Source organism: Homo sapiens, chromosome 1 (genome assembly GCF_000001405.40).
Source record: "Homo sapiens chromosome 1, GRCh38.p14 Primary Assembly".
Classification (NCBI taxonomy): Eukaryota; Metazoa; Chordata; class Mammalia; order Primates; family Hominidae; genus Homo; species Homo sapiens.
The window spans coordinates 227900853-227916622 of record NC_000001.11 but is presented as its reverse complement, the minus strand read 5'-3'; the positions used below and the strand labels follow the sequence as shown (position 1 = coordinate 227916622).

At 57.6% G+C, this 15770-nt stretch overlaps 4 annotated features.

The window, feature by feature from the left end:
- Positions 49-845: an enhancer, noted in NCBI's record as "H3K4me1 hESC enhancer chr1:228103479-228104275 (GRCh37/hg19 assembly coordinates)". NCBI's record gives its function as "activates a minimal SCP1, AML or CMV promoter by ChIP-STARR-seq in naive H9 embryonic stem cells {active_cell/tissue: H9 hESC(naive)}" and the evidence as "EXISTENCE:reporter gene assay evidence [ECO:0000049][PMID:30033119]".
- Positions 846-1643: an enhancer, noted in NCBI's record as "H3K27ac-H3K4me1 hESC enhancer chr1:228102681-228103478 (GRCh37/hg19 assembly coordinates)". NCBI's record gives its function as "activates a minimal SCP1, AML or CMV promoter by ChIP-STARR-seq in naive H9 embryonic stem cells {active_cell/tissue: H9 hESC(naive)}" and the evidence as "EXISTENCE:reporter gene assay evidence [ECO:0000049][PMID:30033119]".
- Positions 2350-2499: a silencer, noted in NCBI's record as "fragment chr1:228101825-228101974 (GRCh37/hg19 assembly coordinates)". NCBI's record gives its function as "represses an EF-1alpha promoter that drives an FKBP-Casp9 reporter gene in an ReSE screen in phorbol 12-myristate 13-acetate-treated (for megakaryocytic differentiation) K562 erythroleukemia cells {active_cell/tissue: K562(+PMA)}" and the evidence as "EXISTENCE:reporter gene assay evidence [ECO:0000049][PMID:32094911]".
- Positions 14338-15338: an enhancer, noted in NCBI's record as "H3K27ac-H3K4me1 hESC enhancer chr1:228088986-228089986 (GRCh37/hg19 assembly coordinates)". NCBI's record gives its function as "activates a minimal SCP1, AML or CMV promoter by ChIP-STARR-seq in naive H9 embryonic stem cells {active_cell/tissue: H9 hESC(naive)}" and the evidence as "EXISTENCE:reporter gene assay evidence [ECO:0000049][PMID:30033119]".

The following is a 15770-nucleotide window of genomic DNA, read 5'->3' as shown; positions in this document are numbered from 1 at the left end:
GTCTGCATGCATCCATGTATATGGCTAGGCCTATGCATCTGTGTCTGTGTGTGTCTCGTATGTATGTATGGCTGGGTCCGTGTATCTGTCTACATGTGTGAGTGCATGTATGTGTGCATATGTGTGGCTGGATTCATGCAGCTACATTCATATGTGTGCATACATGTGTCCATGAGTCTGTGTTGTGTGTCTCTGCACACAGGTGCATGTGTCCATGTGGGTACATGCACATGCATGCACATGTCCATGTGTCTGTGTCATGCGTCTCTCTCTGCATGCACACATGTGCTTGAGTGCTGTAGGTGTGTGCTGAAGGTGTGTGCTGAGCCATAGCTCATCTCCTTTCTAGCCTCCTACCTCGACTTTCCTGGGTGATTGAGGCCTGGCCCCTACCCCCACTCTGGTCTCCAGCTGACAAGCTCCCACTGGCCCTGGGCCCACCCTGTCCAACGACATCCACCAGGTGGGTGGAGACACCTTGGAATCCACGAGGTGCTTCCTCACCTGCTCGAGCACGGGTCAGATGCTCCTGAGCAGTTTCCGGACAACAGGGCATCCCCATCTTGGCTTGCGGGGGTGAGGAAAGCAGGGCCCAGAGGGCATGGAGCTACTTTAGCCGAGCGGTCTCTGGTGCCATTCGCAGGTGGGAGACAGGCCCAGGACACACAGGTGGCCAGAGGCAAGCCCAGGCTTGAGCCCAGGCTGGTGGGGCCCAGGCGGCTGGGGCGGTGGCAGGCATCTGGCTCCCCTCCAGGCAGCGGCAGGGGATGGCTAGGGGATTAGGTAAGAAGGCGCGGTTAGGTAATGTCTCAGAAGGGCCCGGGGTGTGCAGCAGGAAGGTTTGAGTGGGATCCTGCCTGGCCTTCCAGGCTGACTTCAGAGACGGAGGGAGAAGCTGGAGAGGAGGAGGGGGAAGGGTGGGAGAAGGAGTAGGGGAGGAGGTGAAGGAGACGAGGGAAGAGGAAGGACGAGGAGGAGGAGGGGAGGGTGCAAAGAATGAGTCTGGCGCCCCAGAGCCCAGACAGACTGTGGTGGGGTCCTGTGTTGCCCTTCCTGTGTCATGGACCTTGGGAACTGCTAGGGACCCCAGGATGATGTCCTCACTGCCTCCATGGGGTCTGGCCCAGGCTGCACACTGTAGGTGCTCTGGGGCCAGCTCCTGAGGCAGGCAGCTGCTGTCAGGGTAGAAGGAGGTGGCCCAGGAGGCCCCGGGGTGCAGGAGTCTGGAGGTGTGGGAGGCTCAGACTCACTCCCTGCCCCACCTGGCTACACAGGCCACAGCCCCTGCATTGGGGCCTGGGGTCCCAGGGGTTCACCTTCTCTGCCTGCACACTCTATTCCTGGGGCCTTTTCATGTAGGTGGGCCTCATCCTGGGGCCAGGGGTGGATGTTCACAAGGGGGTGGCCTTGACCCATCCTGCATCTCGTCCCCGGACCATGCTGCCTGTCTTCTTAGTTCCCCTGACGTGTACTAGAGCCCCTGCTCCTCTAAGCCCCACTGGGCTCACTCTCTCTGCAGCCTCTGTGCTCCTCGGAAGCCCCTCCCTGCCCACTGCCCAGTGCATACAGCAACTGGCTGGCCCAGGAGGAGCGGATGCTGGGCAGAGCTGTCACCTCCCTGGAGGTGACCTTGGGTCAGCCAGGCCCAGGGGGCTGATCGGGAAAGAGCAGGCCACTCCTGGGGGCTGCAGAGGGCCTAGGCTGGGGACCAGAGTCCTGGCTGTGCCTGGTCCTGCCTCTGCCAGGCTCCAGGGCCTTAGTTTCCCTATCCACCCCTTAGGAGGCAGCCCCTGCCTGATAGCCTGGGATTCTGGGCAGGGGTCTGCTGTGGGGCTGGCCAGGCCAGGTGGAGGGGCTGGCGTAGGCACCAAGGGCAGCGGGGCCTGGCTGGCCGGCTTTGCTGGAACGCCCCCGTGGATGGTGGACGGAGTGGAGCAGGGGTCCAGCAGATTGCCAGGGAAACAAGACCAAATAAACACTCCCCCTGCAGCCCTGCAGAGGGGGCTCCCATGGCAATGACCTCATCTGCCCACCCAACCCTGCGCAGGGCCAGACTGGAGGTGGGGGGTCCAGGGCTGGCAGAGGAGCCTAGCATCCTGTGTTTGTGTTGGGCCCACATCCATGGCAACAGCTGGGGGCTCCCGCTGTGCTTACCAGCCAGAGGCCTCCCCAGCAGGGAGGGAGGGGAAAGGAGGAGGGGAGAGGAGAGAGAGGAGAGGATGGAGGAGGGGAGTTAAAAGAGGAGGAGGGAGAGGAGGGGAGAGACAGGGGAAGAGGCTGGGGTGGGGCGTGGCCCAGGCCAGGCCTCCAGGGGTGGCCTTAGCTCTGCAGCCAGTCCTCCCTGCCTTCTGCAGCAAGTCCTAAGCTGTGGAAGGGAGCAGTGGCTCTCACAGGCACCCTGGGTCTGTCCAGGGCTGGGTGGCAGATGAGTGCACGTGCATGGGTTTTCACCCACACAGGCTTATCAGCACCCATTTCGGGGGACTGGGGCCTCAGACCCGGGGTCTCTTGATGTGTCAGCCAGGGCCAGGGTCTCATCTGAGGCTCGCCTGGGGCAGGTTCTGCTTCCAGGCACCATGCCCTGTCAGAAGGAGGGCCTGGGTCCTTGGGAGCTGTCCTCCCGAGGCCATCCTCAGCAACCTGCCATGAGGGCCTCTCTGAGGGGCGGCTTCCTCCACTTCCCAAGGCGGGGGTGATGGAGAGAGTATGCTGGAAGGAGGGGCCTTGAAGTCTGCGGAGCTGCCAAAAGGGGTGGGGAGGGTGCACCGCTGCTCTGCTCTGCTGGGCAGGAAGCAGGTCAGGGCAGGAACCTGGGACACAGGGGTCACGGGATGCCTGAGGGTCTGCCATGGCGCCCAGCATCCTGCACCAGGATTCACCAACTGCTCACATTTACAGCTGGCCCTTGAATAACATGGATTTGCCCTGTGTGGGCCCCTTACATGCAGATTTTCTCCTGCCTCTGCCACCTCTGAGACAGTGAGGCCAAGTCCCCTCCCTCCTCCTCCTCAGCCTTGCAGCTTGAAGACCGGGAGGACAAAGGCGTTTAGGAGGATCCATTCAATGCAGGGAAGAGGAACTATGTTTTCTCTTCCTTGGGATTTTCCCACTAACGTTTCTAGACTCTAGCTTGCTGTATTGTGCGAACACAGTATGTGACACAGATAATGCAGAATGCGTGCTAATCACCTGTTCATATTCTCCTCAAGGCTTCCAGTCAGCAGGAGGCTGTTAGCAGTTCAGTTCCAGGGAAGTCAAAACTTATGTGGGGATTTTCAACTGCATGGGGGCTGGTGCCCCTAACCCCCACGTTATTCCAGGATGAGCTGTAGTCATTTGATCTCTCTTCTCTTCTGTCTCTAAAAACAAGATGCATGTCTTTTTGCTTTTTGGCCCCTTAGAGAGGAAGTTGGAGGCATCTGGTACCGTACGTGAATCGGCATTCTCCTTTCACATGTGACAGCGTGACGGGATGGGCTGGGGCCCACAGCGTTTGCACTGTCCTGCCCTATCCTCCCTCCCGTGGTGTTCCTTTGAGCTGCTCTTGCTTTTTGTGTTTTTCCCGGATCCAGGCTCCAATCAAGGCCATGCCTCGTCTTTGGGGACTGTCTGCTTCGGTAGGTAAAGAGTTAGCTGCCCTTGAACGGCGATTCTCCTGGGCCCCACGGATGCTCCTGTTTCAGTCCTGACATCAGCACTTCCAGCTTTCTCATTCCGTTTCCCCTGCTACACTGATGAGATGTCATTATTCAGGAAAGAAAACTCTCCCTCCCTTATTTGTGTTTGTTTTTTAGTATTGCTAAAGATGCATGGGTCCTTCCTTCTTTCAAATTCAGTGTGTTTCAATGCAGTGCCATTGTGATTCTTTGAGTCTCTGAGGACTTCCTTGCTTTCTGGATGTCAGAGGTTTGAGGCAGAAGTGAGATGTGGTCTGATTTATGTGTCCACAGAATCAATGTGAGTGCTCCAGGGAGACAGACCAAAAAATGATGCTGAAAGAAACAGAAATAATCCAGGTCACAGACAAGAGTTTTAAATAAACTCTAATAAGTATCATTAGGAAGACCTGGGGAAAAAAATACCACCTAGGGCAGTGGCTCACACCTGTAATCACAGCACTTTGGGAGACTGAGGCCAGAGGATCGCTTGAGTCCGGGAGTTCAAGACCAGCCTGGGCAACATAGCAAGACCCTTTCTCTGCACAACAATTTTTTAAAAATTATAGGTGGTGGGCGCAGCTAGTCCCAGCCACTTGGGAGGCTGAGGTGGAAGAATCGCTTGAACCCAGGAGGTTGAGGTTGCAGTGAGCCAAGATCATGCCACTACTCTGTCTCAAAAAAGGGAAGAAGGGAAGAAAAGAAAAGGAAGGAAGGAAGGAAGGAGAAAAGAAAGAAAATCATCTGCTGGGCGCAGTGGCTCACGCCTGTAATCCCAGCACTTTGGGAGGCTGAGGCGGGTGGATCACCTGAGGTTGGGAGTTTGCGACCAGCCTGACCAACATGTAGAAACCCCATCTCTACTACAAATACAAAATTAGTCAGGCATGGTGGTGCATGCCTGTAATCCCAGCTACTTGGGAGGCTGAGGTAGGAGAATCACTTGAACCTGGGAGGTGGAGGTTGTGGTGAGCCGACATCATGCCATTGCACTCCAGCTTGGGCAACATGAGTGAAATCTGTCTAAAAAGAAAAAGAAGAAGAAAAAGAAAATCATCTATGAAAAAGGAACAATAAAACAAAAAAGTAAACTACTGAAAACAAAAATATGGCCAGTGAAGTAATTATTTTCAATAAAAATTGGAAATATAAAGCCCAAGAAATCTAGTGAGAAAAAAAATAGGTCAGCTTTTCTTTGGCTGTAGGAGAATCTATGGTGGGCACTTGACACCCTTTTGGACGATGAGATGTCATGATAAATTCCTACAGCGAGAAGGTCTCTTCTCCAGCAAGCAGGCAAAGCTTTGCTGAAAGCATGCCCATTTTGCTCAGCATATCTTTTCCCTTGCACCCATTTCCTGCATAGGACACAGGATGTGATGGTGGAGTCACCGCAACCGTCTTGAGATCATGAGTAAGGAAGCGACCCATTAAGGAAGACAGAGCAAAAATAGAAAAGGCTCCAGTGACCTCATGGTGCTCTCGCATGAACCCTAGTTTTGTTTTGTTTTGTTTTGTTTTTTGAGACAGGGTCTGACTCTGTCGCCCAGGCTGGAGTGCAGTGGTGAGAGCTCGGCTCACTGCAGCCTCAACCTCCTAGGTTCAAGCTATTCTCCCACCTCAGCCTCCCGAGTAGCTGGGACCATAGGCGCCAGCTTTATATGAGTTTTATAAAGACAGCAGGTGCCACCATGCCCAGCTTATTTTTGTATTTTTGGTAGAGACTGGGTCGTACCACGTTACCCAGGCTGATCTCAAACACCTGGGCTCAAGTGAGCCTCCCATCTGAACCTCCCAAAGTGCTGGGATTACAGGCATGAGCCACCACGCCAGGCCAAATCCTAGCTTTTGTTGTGTGTGAGATTTAAAACAAATGAAAGTGTGTTTGTTTAAGCTAGAGTTGGCTGTTTTCTGTCATCTGCCACCCAAGTCATTCCTAACTGATGTGCACATCAAGCCTGGAGTATCAGGCCTGCGGCAGGGATGCTGGGCTGAAATGCAGCGGCCCCTTGCAAACTCGTAGCAAGGGTCATTTGCAACCTAGAAGTCCACGCCTAGCCAAGCTTGCTTTTAAAAAACTAGAATAAAGACAGTTTCAGGCAGGCAAATTCCAGCAAAGTTCACCACCCTCACATCTCTTCCAGTCAACGATTTGAGGGTGTGCTTGGGCACAAACCGAGGAGAGGAATTCTGGAGGTCCCAAGGAGCAGCTCCCCTGGGTGGTGAGGAAGGGAATCAGGCGGCAGCTGCAGCAGGGCTGGCCCTGCAGCCAGGGCAGGGAGGCAGAGAGGCAGGGATAGCCATGGCCTGACAGCCAGCCTGTGTGAGTCTCTGTGCAAAACAAAACAAAACAAAGCAGGTCCTTGTGTTAAGATAAAAATAAAGACCTCGACATGGAGACATCTAGGGAGGAGGCTGGGCTGAGGGGAGCCCACTTACCATCCTCCGAGGCCTGAACCCTGGAGGAACAGAGCAGAAACCTCTCAGCGTCACAGTCTCCCACCGCAATGATGCCTGGGGCTGGGGCTGCCTGCAGCACGGGCTGAAAGGCTTCTGTCTCAGCTCCTATCCTCCCATTTATTTTAATGGAAGAAGCTTTTTTTTACCCCCAAGACGGAGTCTTGCTCTGTCACCCAGGCTGGAGTGCAGTGGTGTGATCTTGGCTCACTGCAACCTCCACCTTCCGGGTTGAAGCAATTCTCTTGCCCCAGCCTGCCGAGTAGCTGAGATTACAGGCACCCACCACCACGCCCGACTAGTTTTTATATTTTTAGTAGAGGCGGAGTTTCACTGTGTTGGCCAGGCTGGCCTTGAACTCCTGACCTCGTGATCCACCCGCCTTGGCCTCCCAAAGTGCTAGGATTACAGGCATGAGCCACCGCCCCCAGCCAGAAGAAGGATTGTTTAACAACACATATCTGACATGTTAAAGATTTACCTCAGGGTCCCTCAGTGATCTTTCCAGATAATCTCCTCACTTGCCTGCCTTCCCTCCCTCCTTCCTTCCTCCTCCCTCCCCTCCTCCCTTCATTCCTTCCCTCCTTTCTCCCCTCCTTCCTCCCCTTCTTCCTTCCCTCCTCCCTCCCCTCCTGCCTCCTCCTCCCCTCCTTCCTTCCCTCCTTCCTTCCTTCCTCCCCTCTTCCTCCCCTCCTTCCCTCCTCCCTCCCCTCCTGCCTCCTCCCTCCCCTCCTCCCTTCCTTCCTTTCTCCCCTTTCCTCCCCTCCTTCCTTCCCTCCTCCCCTCCTTCCTTCCCTCCTCCCCTCCTTCCTCCCTTACCTCTTCCCCTCCTTCCTTCCCTCCTTCCTCCCTTACTCCCTCCCCTCCTTCCTCCCCTCCTTCCCTCCTCCCTCCCCTCCTTCCCTCCTTCCTCCCCTCCTCCCTTCCTTCTTCCCTTCTCCCTCCCCTCCTCACTCCCTCCTCTCCCTTCTTTCTTCTTTCTCTTTTTTCGTTCTTGTTTTCTTTTTCCTTCCCTCCCTTCCTTCTTTTTTTTCATTTTTCCTTTCATATTTTCTTTTTCTCCATCATTCCTTCCCCCACCTCTGTTTTCTTTTCTTTCTTTTATTTCTTCCTCTCTTTCTCTTCTTTTCCCCCTCCCTTCTTCCTTTTTTCTTTTTTCCTCTTTCCTTCTTTCTCATTCCTTCCTTCCCATAATTTAAAGAACATATTTCCAGTCAACACTGTTCATTTAAGGTAGACCTATAATTAAATAAACTGTAATTCTCTTGGCCTGTATGTTAACCCCAGGATCCTATAGAATGCACGAGGGAGGCCTGGATTAAATGTCACATAGGATTAGCACAGTTTACTTCTCAGGGAAGGAATCTGGGGTCGTGTTTTACTCTCATGGTGCATTTATATTTTGCTTGATTTTTACAAATACATGACACAATCAATACTGTTTAGTTTTGGTTTTCTGAAAGTCATTCTAACGGTGGAAGAGGCTGTGGACGAGGGGACTGACGGTGAGCATGATGAAGGAAGAACTCGGCAGGTGGACTGGGCCTTCGAGGTCATTGGCCAGCCTGTGTGTGGCCAGATCAGCTTCTGGGGAGCCGTGCAGGAGCAGCACAGACCGTGAGGAGGAGCTGGTTGGGAGGAGGCAGAGAATGGAGAAGGGTGTGCAGTCCAGGGGCCAAACACACATATTCCACAGGCTACAGGAGGTCTATGGAGATCCATGAGGGTGGCCCTCACACATGTTCGTGGAACACACATGCATGTGACATGTGACTCATGCTTACCTTGGGGTGGAGGCTTCACATGTAGATGTATTCCAATTAGGTCTTTCCAGGACTCAAAGGGGCTCAAGTGCACAGCCTCTGTAAACTGGCCAGGACCAGCCCACGGTCGTGGTCTCTCACCAGGAGAAAGCTCCTGAAGTCAGTGTCCTGGTCCAGTGAACGCTGCTGTCGTGGCTGGTGGAGCAGGGGGTTGGAGAGTCAGCCTCTGTGAGCTGGGTAAGCTGCAGTTGTCTTGACGTTGCTTAGCTGGAGGCCAGTGCTTCTTTAGCTGCTGGAGAAAAAGAAAACCCTTGTAGTACAGTTAGAACACCGTTTATTCTTTAAGTGTAGGGGCCCATGGCATGGTCGTAGGTCCTGTTGTTTTATTCATTTAATTTTTTAGAGACAGGGCCTCATTCTGTCACTCAGGCTGGAGTGCTGTGATGTAATCACAGCTCCCTGCAGCCTCAAACTCCTGGGCTCAAGCAATCCTCCCACTTCAGCCTACCAAGTAGATGGGACGACAGGCATGTGCCACCGCACCTAGTTAATTTTTGATTTTCTGTAGAGACGGGGGTCTCACTATGTTGTCCAAGCTGTTCTTGAACTCCTGGGCTCAAGCAATCCTCCTGCGTCAGCATCCCAAAATGCTGGGATTACAGGCATGAGCCACTGTGCCCAGCCCTTGGGGACTTTCTAAGCACTTGGCCCACACATTAAATCCCTGTCTACTCAGAGTGGCAGGGGCCCCCACACAGCCAGCGCAGCCTTGATGTCCCTGTAACTCTGAGCCAGTGGCCCCCAAGGTGGCAGAACAGGTGTCAGCCACATCTAGAAGGAGGCCTAGGGACCTGCAGGGTGCCACCCTTGGTGAGGCGGCTGTGGGCCACCCTTGGTGAGGCGGCTGTGGGCTGTGGGTGAGGCAGCCCCTTGGTGAGGGGCTGGGAGGAGTGGGCTTCTCTCGGCCTGGCTGGGAGTCCAGGTGCCAGGGTCACTAAGACAGGCCTGGCATGCGGGTGTGGAGGCTGGCATGGTTTGCTTGGGCATGGGTGGGGCATGGGACAAGCTGCACAGGTGTGCAGAGCACTCTCCACATAGTCACTCCCTCTTAGGAAAAGACTCCTTCCTCCACTTGAGAGGGCATCAGGCCAGCAGGGACCAGACGTTCGCCTAATCCAGAGGCTGTCCCCCACCAGATAAGGGCGTAGCCAGGCACGCTGTTTACCATCCGTCCTCACCAAGGACTCTGTGGCCATAAAAAGAGCAGGGCTTCACCAGCTCGAGGCGGCCATCATAACAGACGCCATCCTGCTATCACTCATGGTCAGATTCAGCATCCGCAGACCAAATCTCTGCCCATATCAAGGCCTCTTCTTTGCAAGATGCTGACATCCGTTAGGGTCAGGCTAGGATGCTCCTTGTCCATGTGGCTCTCCTTGGACCAGATCGTTGACCCCTTTTCCTATCCCTTTTCTCTTGCTGTTAGGTGTCACTTGGTTGTGGAATGCTTAATCTATACGATTACACGTGGCTTAAGTGTGCTTTGATGCGAGGTATGCAGTAACTACTGCCCTGTGCAGTGGCTTGAGCCTGGGTTCCGGCCCTGACAACCCGGTGAACGGGAAGTACTAAGGAGCACTGCCTCCCGGGGAACTCCTTGCAGCTCGTGGCTTTTATAATTGAAATAGCATCAGTAACAGCCTGCCATTGTGAAAAGACAAATGGGCATGGGCCTGGTTATGTCTTGTGCTGCTCAGGACAGCAGCAGAAGACAGCAGCCTCTAGGAGGGAGGGAGAGAGCGGGAGGGGAGAGGGAAGAAAGTAGGAGGAGGGAGGGAGGCAAGGGAGAAGCAGAAGGGAAAGGGAGAGGGAGGGAGGAGTAACAAGGAAGGAGGATGAGGAAGAGGGAGGGAGGAGGAAAAAAGGAGGAGGGAGGGAGAGGCAGGAACAGGAAAGGAGGAAGGAGAGTGGGAGGGAGGGAGAGAAAGGGAGGAATAAGAAGGAAGGGAGAGGGAGAGGCAGGAACAGGAAAGGAGGAAGGAGAGTGGGAGGGAGGGAGAGAAAGGGAGGAAGAAGGAAGGGAGAGGGAGGAGCAGGAAGGGAGGAGGGAGTAGGAGGAGGGAGAAGGGAGTAGAAGGAGGGAGGGGGAAGGGATGAGGGAGTAGGAGGAGGGAGGGAGGAGGAGGGAGTAGAAGGATGGAGCAGGAGGAGGGAGGAGGAGGAGGGTGGGAAGAGGTGAGAGGAGGAGGGAGTAGGAGGAGGGAGGGAGGAGGGAGAGGGTGGGAGGAGGAGGGAGGAGGAGGGAGGGAGGAGGGAGTAGGAGGAGGAGGGAGGGAGTAGGAGGATGGAGTAGGAGGAGGGAGGAGGGGGATGGTGGGAGGAGGAGGGAGTAGGGAGAGGGAGGGAGTAGGAGGAGGGAGGAGGAGGGTGGTGGGTAGGGTGCGCAGAGGCCAGGAAGGCAGGGAGGCACTGTATGGAGCCAGTGTGAGGGACCTGAGTTGCCAGGAGGACCTTGGGGCTAAAGAATGGTGACAGGGCCAGGCCACAGGGACGGGAAACCCAGTGAGCTGCTAAGCTGAGTGCCTCCTAAGGGACCCACTGCAGTGGGAGGCTTGGCAGCCCATGCCCAGGCAGGACTTGGAGTTCTAGCACTGGGAGTTGGCGGCTCCCCTCCCTTCCGTCTGCTCGGCCTCGGTTAATGCGGGAGCTGGAGGTGTGGACTCTTCTGTGGCTAGCAATGGAGACCAGGCTCCTCCAGCTTCAGTCCCCTGGGAGCCTCCAGGGGCAGTGCTGGGTCAGGCCCTGCCCCTCTGTCCGTGGCGTGGACAGGGCTTCCCTGGGCGTGGGTCCCCTGTGCAGCTTGGCCAGGGCAGGCAGGCAGTGCCCACCATGCTGGCCACAGGGCCCTTCCCCAGGGAAGCGGGCATGGAGCCAGAAGGTGTCACTGTGACTCCTTTATGGGCAGCTGGAGACCCCCAGGCATTTGGATCCTGTACTTCCAATGCTGGAGTCTCCTGCCTCCAACGTGGGCGTGGGTCCCTCCAGGGGCATTCAGCTTGGGCCTGGCCAGCTGGGAGCAGAGCTTTTTCCACAGGGCCCACCTGAAGGCCCAGAGAGGCCTAGAGCTCTTGGAATCACACCGCAAGTGGGAAGGAGGAACAAGCTGTCCCCCGACCTGGCCCACAGCGAGGGCCTGGGCAGGGTGGCCAGCGCTGAACGGTGGAAATAGGCACCGAATGTCTGCGGCCAGTGACATTTATGGAGCCCCAGGGGCGTCCTCAGTGCCAAATAACAAGGCCTACATATCGGGGACAAACATATGAAACCCAGGCCCACATGGAGGTCTTGAACGTTTTATGGGGGCATCTGGGACCTTGTGGCCTGGGGTGGGGGTGGGCCAGGCTATTCCCAGGAGTCCTCACTGCCCTCCCAGAGGAAGCGGGGCTGATCTCTGCGAAGTGTGTGACTTGAACTGGGGAGCTGGGAAACGCTGGTTCCTCAAGGCCCCCACCAATCTGCAACCATGGGGTTGGGAGGAGGCTGGAACCCTGCTGGCATGGCGGGGGCCCAGAGACCCCATCCTGACTTGGCCTCTCAGCTCCTTTTCCACACTGGCCAACGCATGTGGCTCAATGCATGCTCAGATGCCACATGAACGAAAGAAGACAGTAGGCCCACTCCTTCTGTCCAGGGGCTGCTGGGTGAACCCCTCCCAGGGATGGCCCTGAAGGGAGAGGTGAGGCAGGGGCTGCCCGGGGGCAGGGATCCTAGGAGGAGGGGCCTGGGTGCCCTGGCAGTTTCGAGCCTAGGAGGGAGCAGAGCCCAGGAGGAGCACTGAGGTTCCCAGGTACACAGAGACTGGAGCCAGGGCGCTTTTGGAGTGACCCTGAGGGGTGCCCAGGCCCCTAGACTAGTTCCTGCAGCCTTGTGTGTGAAGATGACGGGGCTTTGTGGGCCTCTCACCCCATGTTGAGTGGTCCAGGAGCTACCAGGGACTGTGCCCCACTCCTGGGCCTCTGGCTGCGGTCCCCACAGAAGGGCTGGCTGTGGGCACTGTGCCTGAGGCTCACAGCAGGAAGGGTGGCTGCCCACCCGGCCGGACAGGGGCATCTGCAGAGCCACCCACCATGAACAGCACCTCCAGGCTTAGGGGACAATGACCCTCCCCAGTCCAGGGCTGGGGCCGTGTGAGAGCTGCCCTCTTATTCCCCTGATGGAATGCGAGGGCCAGATGCTCTTGGGAGCTCAGGCACAGACAGGAGCCACAGCGAACCTTCCAGGGAACATGCCCGCCACCCGGGATCCCATGGAGATGTTGCCCTCAGCTGGTGCCCACTGACCCCAGGAGATCGCCTCGTTGACACCCGGCTAACCTCCTGCTGCCCTGGCTCCCGCTGCCCCCAGCCAAGGGTGACTGGCCGAGTGCCAAGCCCCAGTGGCATGGTGGGGATGCACACCCCCGCCCCGTCTGCACCCAGAGCACAAAGTCCCCTTGGCAGACCCAGGGCAGGGCTGGGGGTCCCACGAGGCCTGCCTGGTCAGGGAGGGCCCAACTGCCTTGTCCCCATGACAGGCTGGGAAAGACTGCAGCTGGGAGCCGGGATGTCACAGGGCTACATGGCCTTGGCAGAGGGTTCATGAACAGCTGGGTCTAGACTGGAGCTCGGCTGGGCATGCTCTAGCAGGAATGGGGAATGGCCCGCCTGGCCCGCTGTGCGCTTCTGGCCACCCCTCCACCTGACATGCCCAGGTCACAGCCCAGAGAGGACCAGGGCAGAGCCAAGGTTGGGTTCAACTAGGTCTCTGGGAGCTGCCAGCCCTGTGATCACAGCTGTGTCTCCAGAACCAAGGTAGGGCTACATCCTTCAGACCCCAGGGTGAGGCTGTGTACCCCAGGCCCCTGAGCGGGCCCACATCCCCCAGACCCCAGGGTAGGGTCACGTCCCCCAGACCCCAGGGCGGGGCCATGTCCCCCAGATCCCAGGGTAAGGCTGTGTACCCCAGGCCTCCGGGCGGGGCCACATCCCCCAGACCCCAAGGCAGGGCTGTGTCCCCCAGACCTCAGAGTGGGGCCACATCCCCTGAGCCATGTCCCCCAGACCCGAGGGTGAAGCTGTGTCCCCCAGACCCCAGGGGGGCCACATCCCTAAGACCCCAGGGCAGTGCCATGTCCCCCAGACCCCAGGGTAGGGCCACATTTCCCAGACCCTAGGGTAGGGTCACATCCCCCGGACCACAGGGTAGGGCCATGTCCCCCAGACCCCAGAGTGAGGCTGTGTCCCTCAGACCCCAGGGTGGGGCCACATCCCTAAGACCCCAGGGTGGTGCCACTTCCCCCAGACCCGAGGGTAGGGCCGTGTTTCCAAGACCCCAGGGTGGGGCTGCATCCCCCACACCCCAGGCAGGCGTGGCCTCCTCTCCTGCCATGAGGTGTTGGCTTCCTTTCCACCTGGAGGCCTTTGGGCAAGGGGTGCCCTGTGGTGCCCGTGGGGCTGCACCTTCTTGGCTGAGGGGTCTGGCTGTGTGGGAGGAGGGGCGCCCGTCTCCAGCCACCATCCGGGGCCTGGCTAGTCTGTGAACGGCCCAGGTGGGGCTCCAGAGCCAGCTGTGTGTGGGGTAGGTCTGTGAGGTGGTCAGGGTCCCACCCTGGGGTTTGCAGTGCCTAGTGCCTGGCTGGGAGCAGAGGCCAGGCCCTGGCTCTAGATTCTCTTAGGCTCGAATTTCAAGGGCTGCGGGAAGGACAGGTCTTCCTTGGAGCTGTAGGATGTGGGGATATGCCAGTTGCCCAGTCCCCCCACTGCCCCACACTGTCTCGGGTCTCCTTAGAGCCCCCAGCCTCAGCCTAGGGTTTGGGGAGCCCCTCCTTGCTCACGATCAGGCATCCCCGCCCCACTGGTGCCCACAGTGGGACTGGAGGAGAGGATGGCAGGAGCACTGAGGCAGCCCAGGCATGGGGGTCTGGCGGCGCCACAGGACAGGCCAGGCTGGCGTGTCCTGGGTTCCCGAGCCCTGCCTGGCCCCTGGTACCCTGGTCTCGGCTTGGGGAGCAGTTGCTCTTTCAGGTTGGGTGTTCCAGGCAATGTGAAGCCGCCTCCCTCCCTGGTCAGCCCCACCCCCTGCTGTCTTGAGAGTTCCAGGATGGAGCCGTCTGCCCACTGTCCTGGCCTGTACATGTGGCTCTGGGCCCCCAGCCTCTGGACGGCAGGAGGTTGTTATCCCAGACCGATGACTCTTTTCCTCAATGCACGGGTAGGGAGACAAAGGCCCAGGAGGCCGGGGCCAGCAGGAGAGGCCCCTCCCCACGGCTGACTAGGCTCAACCAGGCCACACCACCCGCAGGACCTCCCCAGGCCACCAGGGAGACCCAGCAACACACACAGAGACACACACACACACACACACACACACACACACACTCACAGACAGTGAGTAAGACAGAGACAGACACAAAGTCAGAAAGACAGAGACAGACAGAGAGAGAATGAAACAAAGAGAGGCAGAGGTAGAGACAGACACACAGACATAGAGAGACAGAGACCTGCCTGGCCTGGCCTGGCCATCAGGGGTCAGGGTAAGCCATCCCTCTTCCCCTAGGAGCAGCCTCAGATCAGGGGTTTCTTCCCACCTGGAGTCTCCTCTCCCATCCCTGGGGATGCTGGAGATGGGAAGTGGGCTCAGCCTGGGGGGCGGGGGGTGGAGCTGTGCCCTCGCAGGAGCCCATCCTGGGGCTCTGTCATGGGCACCCCCACCCTCCTCCCGAGCTTCTCCACCGTGAGGCTTGTCCCCATTGTCTTGTCCCTACCCACCTTCTCCCTACTACCTGGACCTAGGGCTGGACTTCAGTTTCCTCGGGCGGTCACCTGCCCCAAGTCTGCCCCTCCATCTGTTCCCCTGACAATGTTCCGACCCCTGAGGCCAGTGTCCCTGCCTTGCCTATGGCCCACATGCTGTCCAGGCCCAGGAACTCTGCCTGGACCCTCCTGGCCTTCTCACGTGCAGGTGGAACTCCCATCACAAATGACTCAAGTGTGCCACCTCCTCCTCCAGGCAGCTTCCCGGGATTGCCTGCCCAGGCCTAGGTGCCACTCTCAGAGACAACGTGTCTATCCTGGGCCAGGTGCCTTCAAGGATGATGCCCATGGGAGAGGGGCTTTTTGAGGCCCGGTGGGCTGCCTGGAAGGTCCCAGTGCCTGTCCCCAGCAGGGGCTTGGTGTGGACAGGAGGCCTGATGTACCCTGGGTACAGCCAAGGAGGAGGCCAGACAGCCCCACAGACTGCTTGGTCTAGCACGGTCGCTGGGACAGGGGAGGAGGGGTACTCATGGAAATGCTGCTGAATTCATGACGTCAAGCTCCACTGGATCAGGGCTGGAGGGCTGGCCAAGGGCTTGGGAGAGGCTGGGTCTGGTCCAGGCTCCCTAGGAAGGGGAGCTCTGCAGGGGGAGGTATCGCAGCATCCTTGACTCCCAGGGCCAGTCCCCGATGGACCTTTTGGGCCGGGGAGGTAACCAGGAGGGCTGGTGGGGCGGGGGGGTCTCTGCTGGGGTCTGTGGGCTCCAAGGTCACTAGGAGATCCCTCCCGATGGACCCTGAGCTTCTATCAATTCAAAGGCCCAAAAGAAAAGGCTGGGGCCCTCCTACTCCCAGTTACCCAGCCCTAAAGACCAGCCAGGTTCTTGTGCAATTGGGAATCTTTTACACAAGAATGAGCCTACATGGCGGGAAAAGCAAACAGTTGGCACAACATAACTGCACAGACCCAATGGGCACCATGCCTGATACTCTTCTGAGAATGTCCAATTCCTGACTGCCAGAGGCTGTTGACAAGCCTGGAACTGGGCCAAGAAATTGAAAGTTACAGCCCCAAAGGCAGGAGCACAGGACACGGACAGGAC